Source organism: Homo sapiens, chromosome 4 (genome assembly GCF_000001405.40).
Source record: "Homo sapiens chromosome 4, GRCh38.p14 Primary Assembly".
NCBI lineage: Eukaryota > Metazoa > Chordata > Mammalia > Primates > Hominidae > Homo > Homo sapiens.
The window spans coordinates 144,795,022-144,809,467 of NC_000004.12; the positions used below are offsets into that span (position 1 = coordinate 144,795,022).

At 38.8% G+C, this 14,446-nt stretch overlaps 3 annotated features.

Moving 5' to 3' along the window:
• Positions 4,130–4,631: an enhancer, noted in NCBI's record as "H3K4me1 hESC enhancer chr4:145720303-145720804 (GRCh37/hg19 assembly coordinates)". NCBI's record gives its function as "activates a minimal SCP1, AML or CMV promoter by ChIP-STARR-seq in naive H9 embryonic stem cells {active_cell/tissue: H9 hESC(naive)}" and the evidence as "EXISTENCE:reporter gene assay evidence [ECO:0000049][PMID:30033119]".
• Positions 4,632–5,131: an enhancer, noted in NCBI's record as "H3K4me1 hESC enhancer chr4:145720805-145721304 (GRCh37/hg19 assembly coordinates)". NCBI's record gives its function as "activates a minimal SCP1, AML or CMV promoter by ChIP-STARR-seq in naive H9 embryonic stem cells {active_cell/tissue: H9 hESC(naive)}" and the evidence as "EXISTENCE:reporter gene assay evidence [ECO:0000049][PMID:30033119]".
• Positions 13,368–13,909: an enhancer, noted in NCBI's record as "H3K27ac hESC enhancer chr4:145729541-145730082 (GRCh37/hg19 assembly coordinates)". NCBI's record gives its function as "activates a minimal SCP1, AML or CMV promoter by ChIP-STARR-seq in naive H9 embryonic stem cells {active_cell/tissue: H9 hESC(naive)}" and the evidence as "EXISTENCE:reporter gene assay evidence [ECO:0000049][PMID:30033119]".

Consider the following 14,446-nt stretch of genomic DNA (forward strand, 5'->3'; position numbering starts at 1 on the left):
AACCAGGAAGAAGTTGAATCTCTGAATAGACCAATAACAGGCTCTGAAAATGAGGCAATAATTAGTAGCTTACCAACCAAAAAAAGTCCAGGACCAGATGGATTCACAGCCGAATTCTACCAGAGGTACAAGGAGGAGCTGGGACCATTCCTTCTGAAACTGTTCCAATCAATAGAAAAAGAAGAAATCCTCCCTAACTCATTTTATGAGGCCAGCATCATCCTGATACCAAAGCCTGGCAGAGACACAACAAAAAAAAGAGAATTTTAGACCAATATCATTGATGAACATCGATGCAAAAATCCTCAATAAAATACTGGCAAACAAAATCCAGCAGCACATCAAAAAGCTTATCCACCATGATCAAGTGGGCTTCATCCCTGGGATGCAAGGCTGGTTCAACATACGAAAATCAATAAACGTAATCCAGCATATAAACAGAACCAAAGACAAAAACCACATGATTATCTCAATAGATGCAGAAAAGGCCTTTGACAACCCTTCATGCTAAAAACTCTCAATAAATTAGGTATGGATGGGACGTATCTCAAAATAATAAGAGCTATCTATGACAAACCCACAGCCAATATCATACTGAATGGACAAAAACTGGAAGCATTCCCTTTGAAAAGTGGCACAAGAGAGGCATGCCCTCTCTCACTACTCCTATTCAACATAGTGTTGGAAGTTCTGGCCAGGGCAATCAGGCAAGAGAAAGAAATAAAGGGTATTCAATCAGGAAAAGAGGAAGTCAAATTGTCCCTGTTTGTAGATGACATGATTGTATATTTAGAAAACCCCATTGTCTCAGCTCAAAATCTCCTTAAGCTGATAAGCAACTTCAGCAAAGCCTCAGGATACAAAATCCACGTGCAAAAATCACAAGCATTCTTATACACCAATTACAGACAAACAGAGAGCCAAATCATGAGGGAACTCCCATCACAATTGCTTCAAAGACAATAAAATACCTAGGAATCCAACTTACAAGGGATGTGAAGGACCTCTTTAAGGAGAACTACAAACCACTGCTCAACGAAATAAAAGAGGACATAAACAAACGGAAGAACATTCCATGCTCATGGATGGGAAGAATCAATATCATGAAAATGGCCATACTGCCCAAGGTAATTTATAGATTCAATGCCATCCCCATCAAGCTACCAATGACTTTCTTCACAGAATTGGAAAAAACTACTTTAAAATTCATATGGAACCAAAAAAGAGACCTCATTGCCAATCCTAAGCAAAAAGAACAAAGCTGGAGGCATCACGCGATCTGACTTCAAACTATACTACAAGGCTACAGTAGCCAAAACAGCATGGTACCGGTACCAAAACAGAGATATAGACCAATAGAACAGAACAGAGCCCTCAGAAATAATACCATACATCTATGACTGTCTGATGTTTGACAAACCTGACAAAAACAAGAAATGGGGAAAGGATTCCCTGTTTAATAAATGGTGCTGGGAAAACTGGCTAGCCATATGTAGAAGGCTGAAACTGGATCCCTTCCTTACACATTATACGAAAATTAATTCAAAATGAATTAAAGACTTAAATGTTAGACCTAAAACCATAAAAACCCTAGAAGAAAACCTAGGCAATACCATTCAGGACATAGGCATGGCCAAGGACTTCATGACTAAAACACCAAAAGCAATGGCAACAAAAGCCAAAATTGACAAATGGGATCTAATTAAACTGAAGAGCTTCTGCACAGCAAAAGAAACTACCATCAGAGTGAACAGGCAACCTACAGAATGGGAGAAAATTTTTACAATCTATCTATCTGACAAAGGGCTGATATCCAGAATCTACAAAGAACATAAACTAATTTACAAGAAAAAAGCAAACTTTTAAGCAAACTTAATGGGGGACCTGTGGCCCCTTTCTTTCAGCCAATTTTTTTCCCTTTGGAAACAGGAGTATTTATCCAGTGCCTATATTCCCATTATATCTTGGAAGTGTTACTTGTTTCTTATTTTACAGGCTCACAGATGGAAGAGTCTTGCCTAATCTCAAATGATACTTTGGACTTTTGAGTTAATGTGAAAATGAGTGATGACTTTGGGAATTATTGGAGACATGATTGTATTTTGAAATATGGTAAGAACATGAGATTTGGGAGGGCACAGAGGTGGAATGATATGGTTTGTATCTGTCCACTGAAATCTGAGGTCAAATTGTAATCCCCAGTGTTGGAAATGGAACCTGGTGGGAGGTGACTGAATCATGGGGGTAAATCCCTGATGAATGGCTTAGCATCACCCCCTTGGTGATATTCTTGTGATACAGTTCTAGGGAGATCCAGTTGTATAATAGTGTGTAGCACCTCTCCCCTCTCTTTCTTGCTTCTGCTCCAGCCATGTAAGGTCCCTGCTCCTGCTTTGCCTTCTACCATGAGTGGAAGCTTCCTGAGTCCTCCCCAGAAGATGCTGCTATGCTTCCTGTATAGCCTGCAGAACTGTGGGCCAATTAAACCTCTTTTAGTTATGAATTATCCAATCTCAGATATTTTTATACAAATATAAGAATGAAATAATACACTAACCTTCCACCTTAAGCAACTCAAAAAAGAAGAGTAAACTAAACGCAAAGAAAGCAAAAAGATAGAAGTAATAAAGATCAGAGTCTAAATAAATAAAAAATATGAAAACAGTAAAAAAAGTTGACTAAACCAAGGTTAGTTCTTTTAAGTGATTTAAACAACTGATGAAGATTTAGCTACACTGACCAAGAAAAAACAAGAGAGGACTCAAGCAAATTACTAAAATGAGGGAGTGGACATTATCACTTACCATATAGAAATAAAAGGATTATAAGGAAATTTTATATATATAAATTATATATATATAATTGTATATGCATACAATTACATATATTTTGTTTAAGGAAGCTAAAGATAGAACCCCAATCTATAGGATTTCTGCTGAAAAATCTGCTGTTAATCTGATGGTTTTTTTTTTAAATAGGTTACTTGATGCTTTTGCCTCACAGCTCTTAAAATTCTTTCCTTAATCTTGACTTTAGATAACCTGATGACTATATGCCTAGGTGATAACCTTTTTGTGATGAATTTCATGGGTGTTCTTTGAGCTTCTTGTATTTGAATTTCTAGATTTCCAGCAAGACCAGGGAAGTTTTCCTTGATTATTTCCTCAAATAAGTTTTCCAAACTTTTAGATTTCTCTTCTTCCTCAGGAACACCAATTGTTCTTATGCTTGGTCATTTAACATAAGCCAAATTTCTGGGAGGCTTTATTCATTTTTTAAACTCTTTTTCCTTTATCTTTTTCAGATTGGGTTAATTTGAAAGCCTTGCCTTTGAGTTCTGAAGTTCTTTCTTCTATTTGTTTTACTCCATTGTTAAAACTTTCCATGTATTTTGCATTTCTACAAGTGTGTCTTTCATTTTCAGAGTTGTGATTGTCTTTTCTCTATGATACCTGTTTCTCTGGATACGTTTTCATCCACATCCATTTTTTAATCTCTTTAAGTTGGTTTTTACCTTTCCCTGGTACCTCCTTGAGTGGTTTAATAATCAACCTTCTGAATTCTTTATCTGACAGTTCGGAAACTTCTCCTTGGTTTGGATTTATTCCTGAAGAGCTAGTGTGATCTTTGGGAGTGGTATAAATCTTGTTTTTGCATACCAGAATTACTTTTCCAGTTCCTTCTCATTTGGGTAGACTTTCAGTGAAAAGATCTGGAACTCAAGGGCTGCTGTTCAGATTCTTTTGTCTTATGGGGTGATCCCTTGAGGTGGGGTTCCCCTCCTTCCCCTAGGGATGGGGCTTCCTGAGAGCCAGACTGCAGTGATTGTTATTGCTTGTCTGGGTCTAGCTACCAAGCAGGGATACCAGGCTCTGGGCTGGTGCTGGGGAGTGTCTGCAAAGAGTCCTATGATGTGATCCATCTTAAGGTCTCTCAGCCATGGACCAGCACCTGCTCAAGTGGAGGTGATGGGAGTAAAGTGGGATCTGTGGGAATCCTTGATTGCAGTTTTGTTTAGCATACTGGTTTCCTTGAATGTTTGTTATGCTATCAGCGAAGTTGTCACATGGACAGACTCAGGACCTCTGGTTAGCCAGGGTGTTACAGGCAGTGGAATTAGCTATTGTTTTCTCCTTTGGATCATGGTTGTTCTGTTATGAGTTGCTGTAATGGCTTGAGTTGATTGGTCTCCAGCCAGGAGGTGGTGTTTTCAAGACAGCACCAGCTGTGGTAGTAGGAGGGAGATATAAGCTTGCTCTACATTGGCCAGGATAAGTACTCACATTTCTCAGGCAATAGGCAGACCCATAGTGCTCCCAAGAGTTTGTCATTTGTCTTCAGCTACCAGGCAGATAGAGAAAAAACATTCACTAGGGGCAGGGTTAGGCAGGTCTTAGCTCAGACCATCCTTGGGCAGGGTTTGCTGTGGCCACTGTGGGGGATGGGAGATGGTTCTCTGGCCAATGGAGTTATGTCCCCAGGTGGATTATGGCTGCCTTTGCTGCTTCATACAGGTCACCAGGGAAGTGGGGGAAAGCCAGCAGTGACAGGCCTCAGCCAGCTCCCATGCAGCCAGCAAGGCCAGTCTCACTCCTGCGATGCCCCACCAACAGCACTGAGTTTATATCCAGGCAGCTGGTGAGCAAGGCTGAGGTCTTGCACCAGCCTACAAGCCTCCCCACTGAGAAAGCAGCGCAATCCACCTGCCCATGCTGTGGGCTGTGGCTTCTGTGCTGGTATCTGTACTTCCCATTCACACCCCACCCCTTAGATTCTGCTCAGGAAAATTTGTGCTCAGTCAAAATTATTACAAAGTTTAACTATAAGCTTTCTTAATCCTGTGGCCCCTCTCCAATTCTTCTGGCTGCCTTCCCCATGGACCCCTGTGAGATAAAGCCAGGAAAGGCTTCCCTGGACTCAAGCTGGGAACTGAGAGTGCCTATAGGGCTTTTTCTGCTGCTTCTTCTACTTTTATATTTCTCTCAGCTCTCTAAATTCATTTCAGCTCTAGGTAGGGTTAAATCCTTCTCCAATAATCTGGATTTTTTCAGGTTCCCCAATGGGGATGTGTGTTTAGAGGCAGGCTGTTCCCCCTCTTACACTTTAAGAACTCACAGTTTTTCAGCTGGCTCATGGAGTCTGTAGTGGCAAGCCACTTCTTTCAAAGGGTCTGTGAATTCTTTTAGTTTTCCTGGTATGTTCCTGCAGTGGTTCTTGGGGCAAAAGTTTACAGTGTGAGTCTCCACATGCTCTTCTGTCTGTCCAAGTGGGAGCTGCACATTAGTCTTGTCTCCTAGATACCATTTTTTCAATATGAATAATTATATGCCAACAAATTAGATGACCTAGATAAAACGGACAAATTTCTAGAAAAACATAAATTAACAAAAGTGACTCAAGAGAGAATATAAAATCTGAATAGACTTATAATAAGATCACAAACTTTGCACAAAGTAATGCACAGAGATGACTCCAGCGATAAATTCTACCAAAATGTTTAAAGAGCATTACTCCCTCATAAACTCTCTCAAAAAATAGAAGAGGATGGAACACTGTTTAATTTATTCTATGAAACTGATATTACTCTAATACCAAAACCACACAAAGATATCACAAGAAAACTATGGACTAATATATTTTATGATATAGAGACAAAAATCCTCTAGAAAATACTAGTAAATTGACTCTAGCAATATATAACAAGGATTATTCACCAAGATAAAGTGAGACTTATTCCAGAAATGCAAACTTGGTTCAACATACAAAAATTAATCAGTGAAATATACCATATTAATAGAATAAAAGACAAAAACCACATGATCATTTCAATTGACACTATATGGTTAATTTCATATGTCAACTGGAATGGACTATGAGGTACCCAGATTAAGCATTATTTCTTGGTACGTCTGTGAGAGTGTTTCCTGATGAAATTCACATTTGAATTGGAGGGCTCAGCAAAGTATATTGTTCTCCCAAATGTGGTTGGGTATCATTCAATCCATTGAAGGTCTAAATAGAACAAAAGGCAGAAGGAGGAATTGGCCTCCTTTTTTTCCTGCCTCACTGCTTCATCTGGGACATCTCATGTCATCTTCTCCTGCCCTTGGACCAGGAGTTAAATCATCAGCTCTGGTCTTCAGGTTTGGCCTTGGACTAAATTCCACCAATGGCTTTCCTGGGTCTGCAGGTTGTAGATAGAAGATCATGTGAGTTCTCAACCTCTATAATCTTGGGAGCCAATTCCTTATTATAGATAGGTAGATAGATAGATAGATAGATAGATAGATAGATAATAGATAGATAGATAGATAAATATAGATATAGTGGGATACTAGCATAAGGGTACATACATACAATGTGGTACTAGCATATATAATATTTGATGCTCTCAAATATACATTGCTGCAATAGGATAAGGGTAGACATATAGATCCGAAAGTCCATAAATAAACCTCTGTTTCATACTATATACAAAAAGCAACTCAATATGAATCAAAAACCTAAATGTAAAAGCTAAAATTATAAACCTTTTAGGAGAAAACATTGGGGAAAACCCTGAACTTGGATAAGGCAATGATTTATTAAAGGTGACACTAAAAGCATAAGCACCCCTTCGTCACGAAAAGATAATCTGTACTTCATCAAAATTAAAACTCTTGTGCTCCAAAGGACACTTTTTTTTTTTAAAATAGCTTTAGGAGTAAAAGTGGTTTCTGGTTACATGGATGAATTGCACAGTGGTGAAGTCTGGGATTTTAGTGCATCTGTCACCCAAATAGTGTACATTGTACTCAATAGGTAGTTTTTCACCATTCACCTTCCAGCCTCCCCTCTTCTGAATCTCCAATATTTATTACACCACTCTGTATGCCTTTGTGCACCCATAGCTTACCTCCCACTTCTAAGTGAGAACATGTGGTATGTGGTTTTTGATTCCTGAGTTATCTCACTTAAGATAATGGACTCCAGTTCCATCCAAGTTACTGCAAAAGAAATTATTTTATAATTATTTATAGCTGAGAAGTATTCCATGGTGTATATATATATATATATATATATATATGTATATGTATATATATATATATGTATATGTGTATATATATATATGTATATGTATATATATATATATATACCACATTTTCCTTAACCACTTATTAGTTGTTGGGCACTTATGTTGGTTTCATATCTTTGCAACTGGGAATTGTGTTGTGATAAACATATGCATGCAGGTATCTTTTTAATAGAGTGACTTCTTTTCCTTTGGGTAGATACCCAGTAGTGGGATTGCTGGGTTGCATGGTAGATCTATTTTAGTTTTCTCAGAAATCTTCATACTGTTTTGCATAGAGGTTTTACTAATTTACATTCTCACCAACAGTACATAAATGTTCCCTTTTCAGCACATCCATGCCAACATCTACTGTTTTTTGACTTTTTAATAACAGCCACTCTGGCTGTGGTAAGGTGGTATCTCATAGTGGTTTTAATTTGCATTTCCCTGATGATTAGTGATGTTGAACATTTTCCAATATGTTTGTTAGCCATTTGTATATATTCTTTTGAGAAATGTCTATTTATGTCATTTGCCACTTTTTGATGATTTTTTTTCTTGCTGATATGTTTGAGTTCCTTGTAAACTGTGGATATTAATCCTTTGTCAGATGCAAAATTTATAAACATTTTCTCCCATTCCATAAGCTGCTGATCTAATTTGATAATTATTTCTTTCACTATGCAGAGGCTTTTTACTTTAATTAGTTTCCATTTATTTGTTTTTGTTTTTGCTGCATTTGCTTTTAGGGTCTTGGTCATAAATCATTTGCCTAAGCCAATGTCCAGAAAGGTTTTTCAAGGTTTTCTTATAGAATTTTTATGGTTTCAAGGCTTAAAGTCTTTAATTCATCTTAAGTTAATTTTGGTATATGGTGAGAGATAGGGATAGTTTCATTTTTCAAATGTGGCTATCCAATTTTTCCAGCACCATTTGTTGAATAGGAAATCTTTTCCCCAATTTATGTTTTTGTATGCTTTGTCCAAGATCAGTTAGTTGTAAGTATTTGGCTTTATTTATGGGTTCTCTATTCTTTTCCATTGGTGTATATACCTGCCTTTATACCAGTACCATGCTGTTTTGGTTACTGTAGCCTTGTATTATAATTTGAAGTTGGGTAATGCAATGTCTCCAGATTTGTTCTTTTTGCACGGGATTCCTTTCCCTATTTGGGCTCTTTTTTGGTTCCATGTGAAGCTTAGGATTGCTTTTTCTAATTCTGTGAGAAATGATGTTGGCATTATGATAGGAATTTCACTGAATCTATAGATGCTTTGGGAAGTGTGGTCATTTTCACAATATTGATTTTTCCAATCCATGTATTTGTGTTATCTATTATTTCTTTCAGCAGTGTTTTGTAGCTCTCCTTGTAGAGATCTTTCACCTCCTTGATTAAGTATATTCCTGGGTATTTTATTGTGTTTTGTTTTTGTAGCTATTGTGTAAAGGATTGAGTTCTTGATTTGATTCTCTGCTCGATCATTGTTGGTGTATAGCAGTGGTACTAATTCATGCACATATTAATCTTATAACCTGAGACTTTACTAATTCATTTATCATATCTAGGAGTCTTTTTGAGGAGTATTTAGGGTTTTCTAGATGTAAGATCATATAATCAGCAAACAGAGATAATCTGACTTCCTCTTTTCCAATTGGGCTGTCCTTTATTTCTTGGCCTTGCCTGAATGCTCTGGCTAGGACTCCCCAAAGAACACTATTAAGAAAGTAAAAAGAAAACATACAGAAAGGAATAAAATATGTGCAAATCATGTATCTGATATGGGCCTGATATACACTTAAAGAATTCTTCTAACTAAACATCAAAAAGACACCCCCTTTTTTATTATTATACTTTAAGTTTTAGGGTACATGTGCACAATGTGCAGGTTTGTTACATATGTATACATGTGCCATGTTGGTGTGCTGCACCCATTAACTTGTCATTTAGCATTAGGTATATCTCCTAATGCTATCCCTCCCCTCTTCCCCCCACCCCACAACAGGCCCCAATGTGTGATGTTCCCCTTTCTGTGCCCATGTGTTCTCATTGTTCAATTCCAACCTATGAGTGAGAATATGCGGTGTTTGGTTTTTTGTCCTTGCGATAGTTTGCTGAGAATGATGGTTTCCAGTTTCATCCATGTCCCTACAAAGGACATGAACTCATCATTTTTTATGGCTGCATAGTATTCCATGGTGTATATGTGCCACATTTTCTTAATCCAGTCTATCATCGTTGGACATTTGGGTTGGTTCCAAGTCTTTGCTATTGTGAATAGTGCCACAATAAACATACGTGTGCATGTGTCTTTACAGCAGCATGATTTATAATCCTTTGAGTATGTACCCAGCAATGGGATGGTTGGGTCAAATGGTATTCCTAGTTCTAGATCCCTGACGAATCGCCACACTGACTTCCACAATGGTTGAACTAGTTTACAGTCCCACCAACAGTGTAAAAGTATTCCTATTTCTCCACATCCTCTCCAGCACCTGTTGTTTCCTGACTTTTTAATGATCGCCATTCTAACTGGTGTGAGATGGTATCTTCTTGTGGTTTTGATTTGCATTTCTCTGATGGCCAGTGATGATGAGCATTTTTTCATGTGTTTTTTGGCTGCATAAATGTCTTCTTTTGAGAAGTATCTGTTCATATCCTTCGCTCACTTTTTGATGGGGTTGTTTTTTTCTTGTAAATTTGTTTGAGTTCATCGTAGATTCTGGATATTAGCCCTTTGTCAGATGAGTAGGTTGCAAAAATTTTCTCCCATTCTGTAGGTTGCCTGTTCACTCTGATGGTAATTTCTTTTGCTGTGCAGAAGCTCTTTAGTTTAATTAAATCCCATTTGTCAATTTTGACTTTTGTTGCCATTGCTTTTGGACACCCCCATATTTTAAATCAGCAAAGTATTTAAATAAATTTTCCCCAAAGAAAATATATAAATCATCAATAAGCACATGAAAATATGCCCAACATCATTGGTCATTAGGGAAATGCAAATAAAACTCACAATAAGATTCCACTTTACACCCACTAGGATGGCTATAACCAAGAAGACAAATAATAGCAAGTGTGTTGTTGAGGATGTAGAGTTTTAAAACCTTTATAAATTCCTGATGAAAGTGTAAAATGATGCATCCTCTGTAGAAGACAGTTTGGCACTTCCTTAAAACGTTAAACAGAGTTGACATATAATCCAGCAATTCAACTGGAGGTATATACCTATGAGAATTGAAAACATAATGTTTACACAAAAACAGGCACTCAAATGTCCACAGTGTTAGGGCTCAATGTTTCCTTTCCATTCGTCAAAGGTGAATTTTGACAGTTGCAAAGAAAGAACCCTAATAGACACACTATATATAGCGTTAATATAATAACACCCAGTTTGACTACATATACATTTCTCTAAATGCTCTATTCTCACAGAGTAGACTCATTGATATTTATCATATTAGTTGGCATCATAATTATTAACAGATATAATTATGTTTGTTAAATAATTAATGAAAGGTCACACAACTACTACGTGTCAGAGGCAGAAATCCCACACAACCATTCAGCTCCAAGATTGATTCTACAGTTCACTTTGAAAAGGGTGAGGCTGTGGTCAGGAATAAGGGAGAGAGCATATTCCAAGCAAAGGACAAAGCTGTAAAAGCCAAGCCCTATCCACAAGGCCTACAGACCTTTATTGTTATGTGAAGCCTCAGGACTGATCTGAGCTTCTTCAGATGGGATATTTCTGTTAGTTAGATTAAGAATTAGTATTGTACACATTATTGTACATCAATGTACAATGTACACCATATTATCGTCCACTCATGTTCATAGCAGCATTACTCCCAATAGCCAAAAGGTGGAAACAACTCAACTGTCCCTCAACAGATAAATGGATAAACAAAATGTTTTATATAATGTTTTATCTGTGTGTGTGTCTGTGTGTGTGTGTGTGTGCCTAATGAGATGTTATTCAGCGAAAAGAATGGCATTCTAATACATGCTACATGTATTAGATGAGCTTTGGAAACATTATGCTAAGTGAAATAACACATATGAAAAGAATAAATATTGTATGATATCTCTTATATGAGGTAGATAGAATAGTAAAATTAATACAGACAGAAAGTAGAATAGTGGTTATTAGAGGCTGGGAAAAGGAGGTAACATTGGACCCAGCAGTGGAGCAGGATCCCCAGGACTGAAGGCCACACAGTGCCCTACACCCCAGAGAACAGGCAGTTTAGCCCACTGGGAGGCTGCTCCTAAAACAAAGGGAGGACAGCATATACTCCCTAGAGTTTAAAAGCTGCCTGCCTGGGTCCATTGACTGCAACCTCACCCCACCAGCATCAGGGCTGCTCTACAATGACATGCATTCTGAGGACAGGTTCTCCCCCAGGCCCACCCAGGCTGGAACTGTTTCCCAAGTACTCAAAAACACCCCTTGAGAGCCTGGGATCATCCCACCTCATCCACCATTGTTGGTATCCATGCATTCCTCCTGGGGGCTTGAGGATGGGCCCACCCACCTGCCACTACCACCACTGCCAGCAGTCATCCACACACACCACTTGGGGCCTGGACTGACCTGCTCAGCCCATTTCAGCCAGCACTAAAACCAGCATGTGCTGCCTGGGAGCCCAAGGGTTGTTCTACCACCTGTGCTGCCATCTCCCACACCATACATGCTACCCAGAGGCCCAAGGATTCATCCATTTTCCCAGTCCATCACTGGCACTGCCAGCACCTGAGAAAGAGCCTGGAGGCCCAGGAATCAGCCCACCTGGACTTCCTAACACCAATGCCCACAAATGCCATCCAGGCACCCAAGGACAGACATGCTCAGCCCACTGCTGCCACCACTGGGTTCTGGAGAGAGGCCCATTTGTTGTCCTCATCCCAATAAAGCCTCACCACAGCCTCCACTAACAACTGCAGCCTAAGCCACTGAAGAAATCACAGACACCACTAAGGCTGTTTAGGGCCAAAAAAATTATACAAAGATGACACTACTGCACACACTAAGAATCAAAGCTAAAGTGGCCTACCCAACCAACACTGTAGACACATCTTCAGGAAAAAGTTTTCCCCTGTAAAAGTTAATCCAGAAAAATGGAAGAAGCAGCCATTATATGACAGGAGCATTCAGATATCAATGTAAAGAAACATGAAACATAAACATTACAGAAACAAGAAACATGAACATTACAGCTAATAATGTAAAAACACAAGAAATATGAAAAAGAAAGGGAATATAAAACCTCCAAAAGAACACAATAATTCTCCAGCAACAGATTCTAAAGAAACCAAAATGCATGAAATACCTGAAAAAGAATTTGAAGTGATAATATCAAAGGAGCTCCATGAGATACAAGATAACACAGACAAACATTACAACAATGCACAACAAAATCAGAAAAAAAAATTCTTTCAGATATGAGTGAGAAATTCACCAAAGACATCATTTAAAAAGAACCAAACAAATCCTGAAACTGAAGAATTTAATGAGTTTAAAAAAATACAGTCAAGAGTTTCAATAATAGACTAGATCAAATGAAAGAAAGAATTTTTCAGAACTTGAAGACAAGACTTTTGAAATAACTCAGAAAAATAGAAAGAAAAAAATGAAGAACACTTATGTGACAAATGAGACACCATGAAGAGACCAAATTTTTAATTATGGGTATTCTGGAAGTTGAGGAAAAGCCCAAAGGCATAGAAAATCTATATAACAAAATGATAGCTAAGAATGTCACAAGTCTAGCAAGAGATTTAGACATCTAACTACAGAAAACTCAGATTCCCAGGTAGATACAATCTAAAAAGGTCTCTCCATAGTATATTATATGAAAACTATCAAAAGTCAAAGACAAAGAAAGAATTGTAAGGACAGCAAGATGAGGATTCCCATAAATGTGACTAGACATTCAGTAACTAACAGCACTAAAGTTAAGTGACTAAGATCTAGTCACATATAAGGGAACCCCTCAACAGAATAACAGATTTCTCAGCAGAAATCTTACAGGCCAGAAGAGAATGGGATGAAATATTCAAAATGCTAAAAGAAATAAATATGCTAGCCAAAAATGTTACACCCAGCATAGTTATTCTTTATAAATGAAGGATAAATAAAGTGTTTCCCAGACACGCAAAAACTGAGGGAATTTATCACCACTAGACCAGCTGCACAAGAAATGCCTAAGAAAATCATACTCTCGGAAGGGAAAAAACAGTATCTATCATCACAAAAGCACACAGAAGTATAAAACTTACGGGTAGAGCAAACACACAAATGAGGAGGAGAAAAAACTCAAATGTTAATACTACAGAAAAATACAAAACTATGGTGACAATAAGAAAGAAAGAATAAAGGATATACAAAACAACCAGAAAGCAATTACCAAAATGACAAAATGACAGGAATAAGAGTTCCCTCACATATCAATAATAAACTTGAATGCAAATAGATTAAATATTCTACTTAAAATATATACAATGGGATGGCTGGCAAGATTGCCGAATAGGAACAACTCTGGTCTGCAGCTCCCAGAGAGATCAATGCAGAAGGCAGGTGATTTCTGCATTTCCAACTGAGGCACCTAGCTCATCTCACTGGGACTGGTTAGACAGTGGGTGCAGCCCACAGAGTGCGAATCAAAGAAGGGTGGGTGTCACCTCACCTGGGAAGTGCAAGGGTTTAGGGAACTCCCGCCCCTAGCCAAGGGAAGCCGTGAGGGACTATGCTGTGAGGAATGGTGCATTCCAGCCCAGATACTATGCTTTTCCCACAGTCTTTGCAACACAGAGACCAGGAGATTCCCTCGGGTGCCTACACCACCAGTGCCCTGGGTTTCAAGCACAAAATTGGGTGGCCATTTGGGCAGACACTGAGCTAGCTGCAGGAATTTTTTTTATATACCCCAGTGGTGCCAGGAACACCAGCAAGATAGAACCATTCCTTCCCCTGGAAAGGGGGCAGAAGCCAGGGAGACAAGTGGTGTAGTTCAGTGGATCCCACCCCCATGGAGCTCAGAAAGCTAAGATCCACTGGCTTGAAATTCTTGCTGCCAGCACAGCAGTCTGAAGTCAAACTGGGATGCTAGAGCTTGGTTGGGGGAGGGGCAACCACCATTACTGAGGCTTGAGTAGGCAGTTTTCCCCTCACAGTGTAAACTCAGACTGGGCAGAGCCCACCATAGCACCACAAAGCTGCTATAGTCAGACTGCCTCTCTAGATTCCTCCTTTCTGGGCAGGGCATCTCTGAAAGAAAGGAAGCAGCCCCAGTCAGGGGCTTGTAGATAAAACTCTCATCTCCCTAGGACAGAGCACTTGGGGGAAGGGGCAGCTGTGGGCACTGCTTCAGCAGACCTAAATGTTCCTGTCTGCC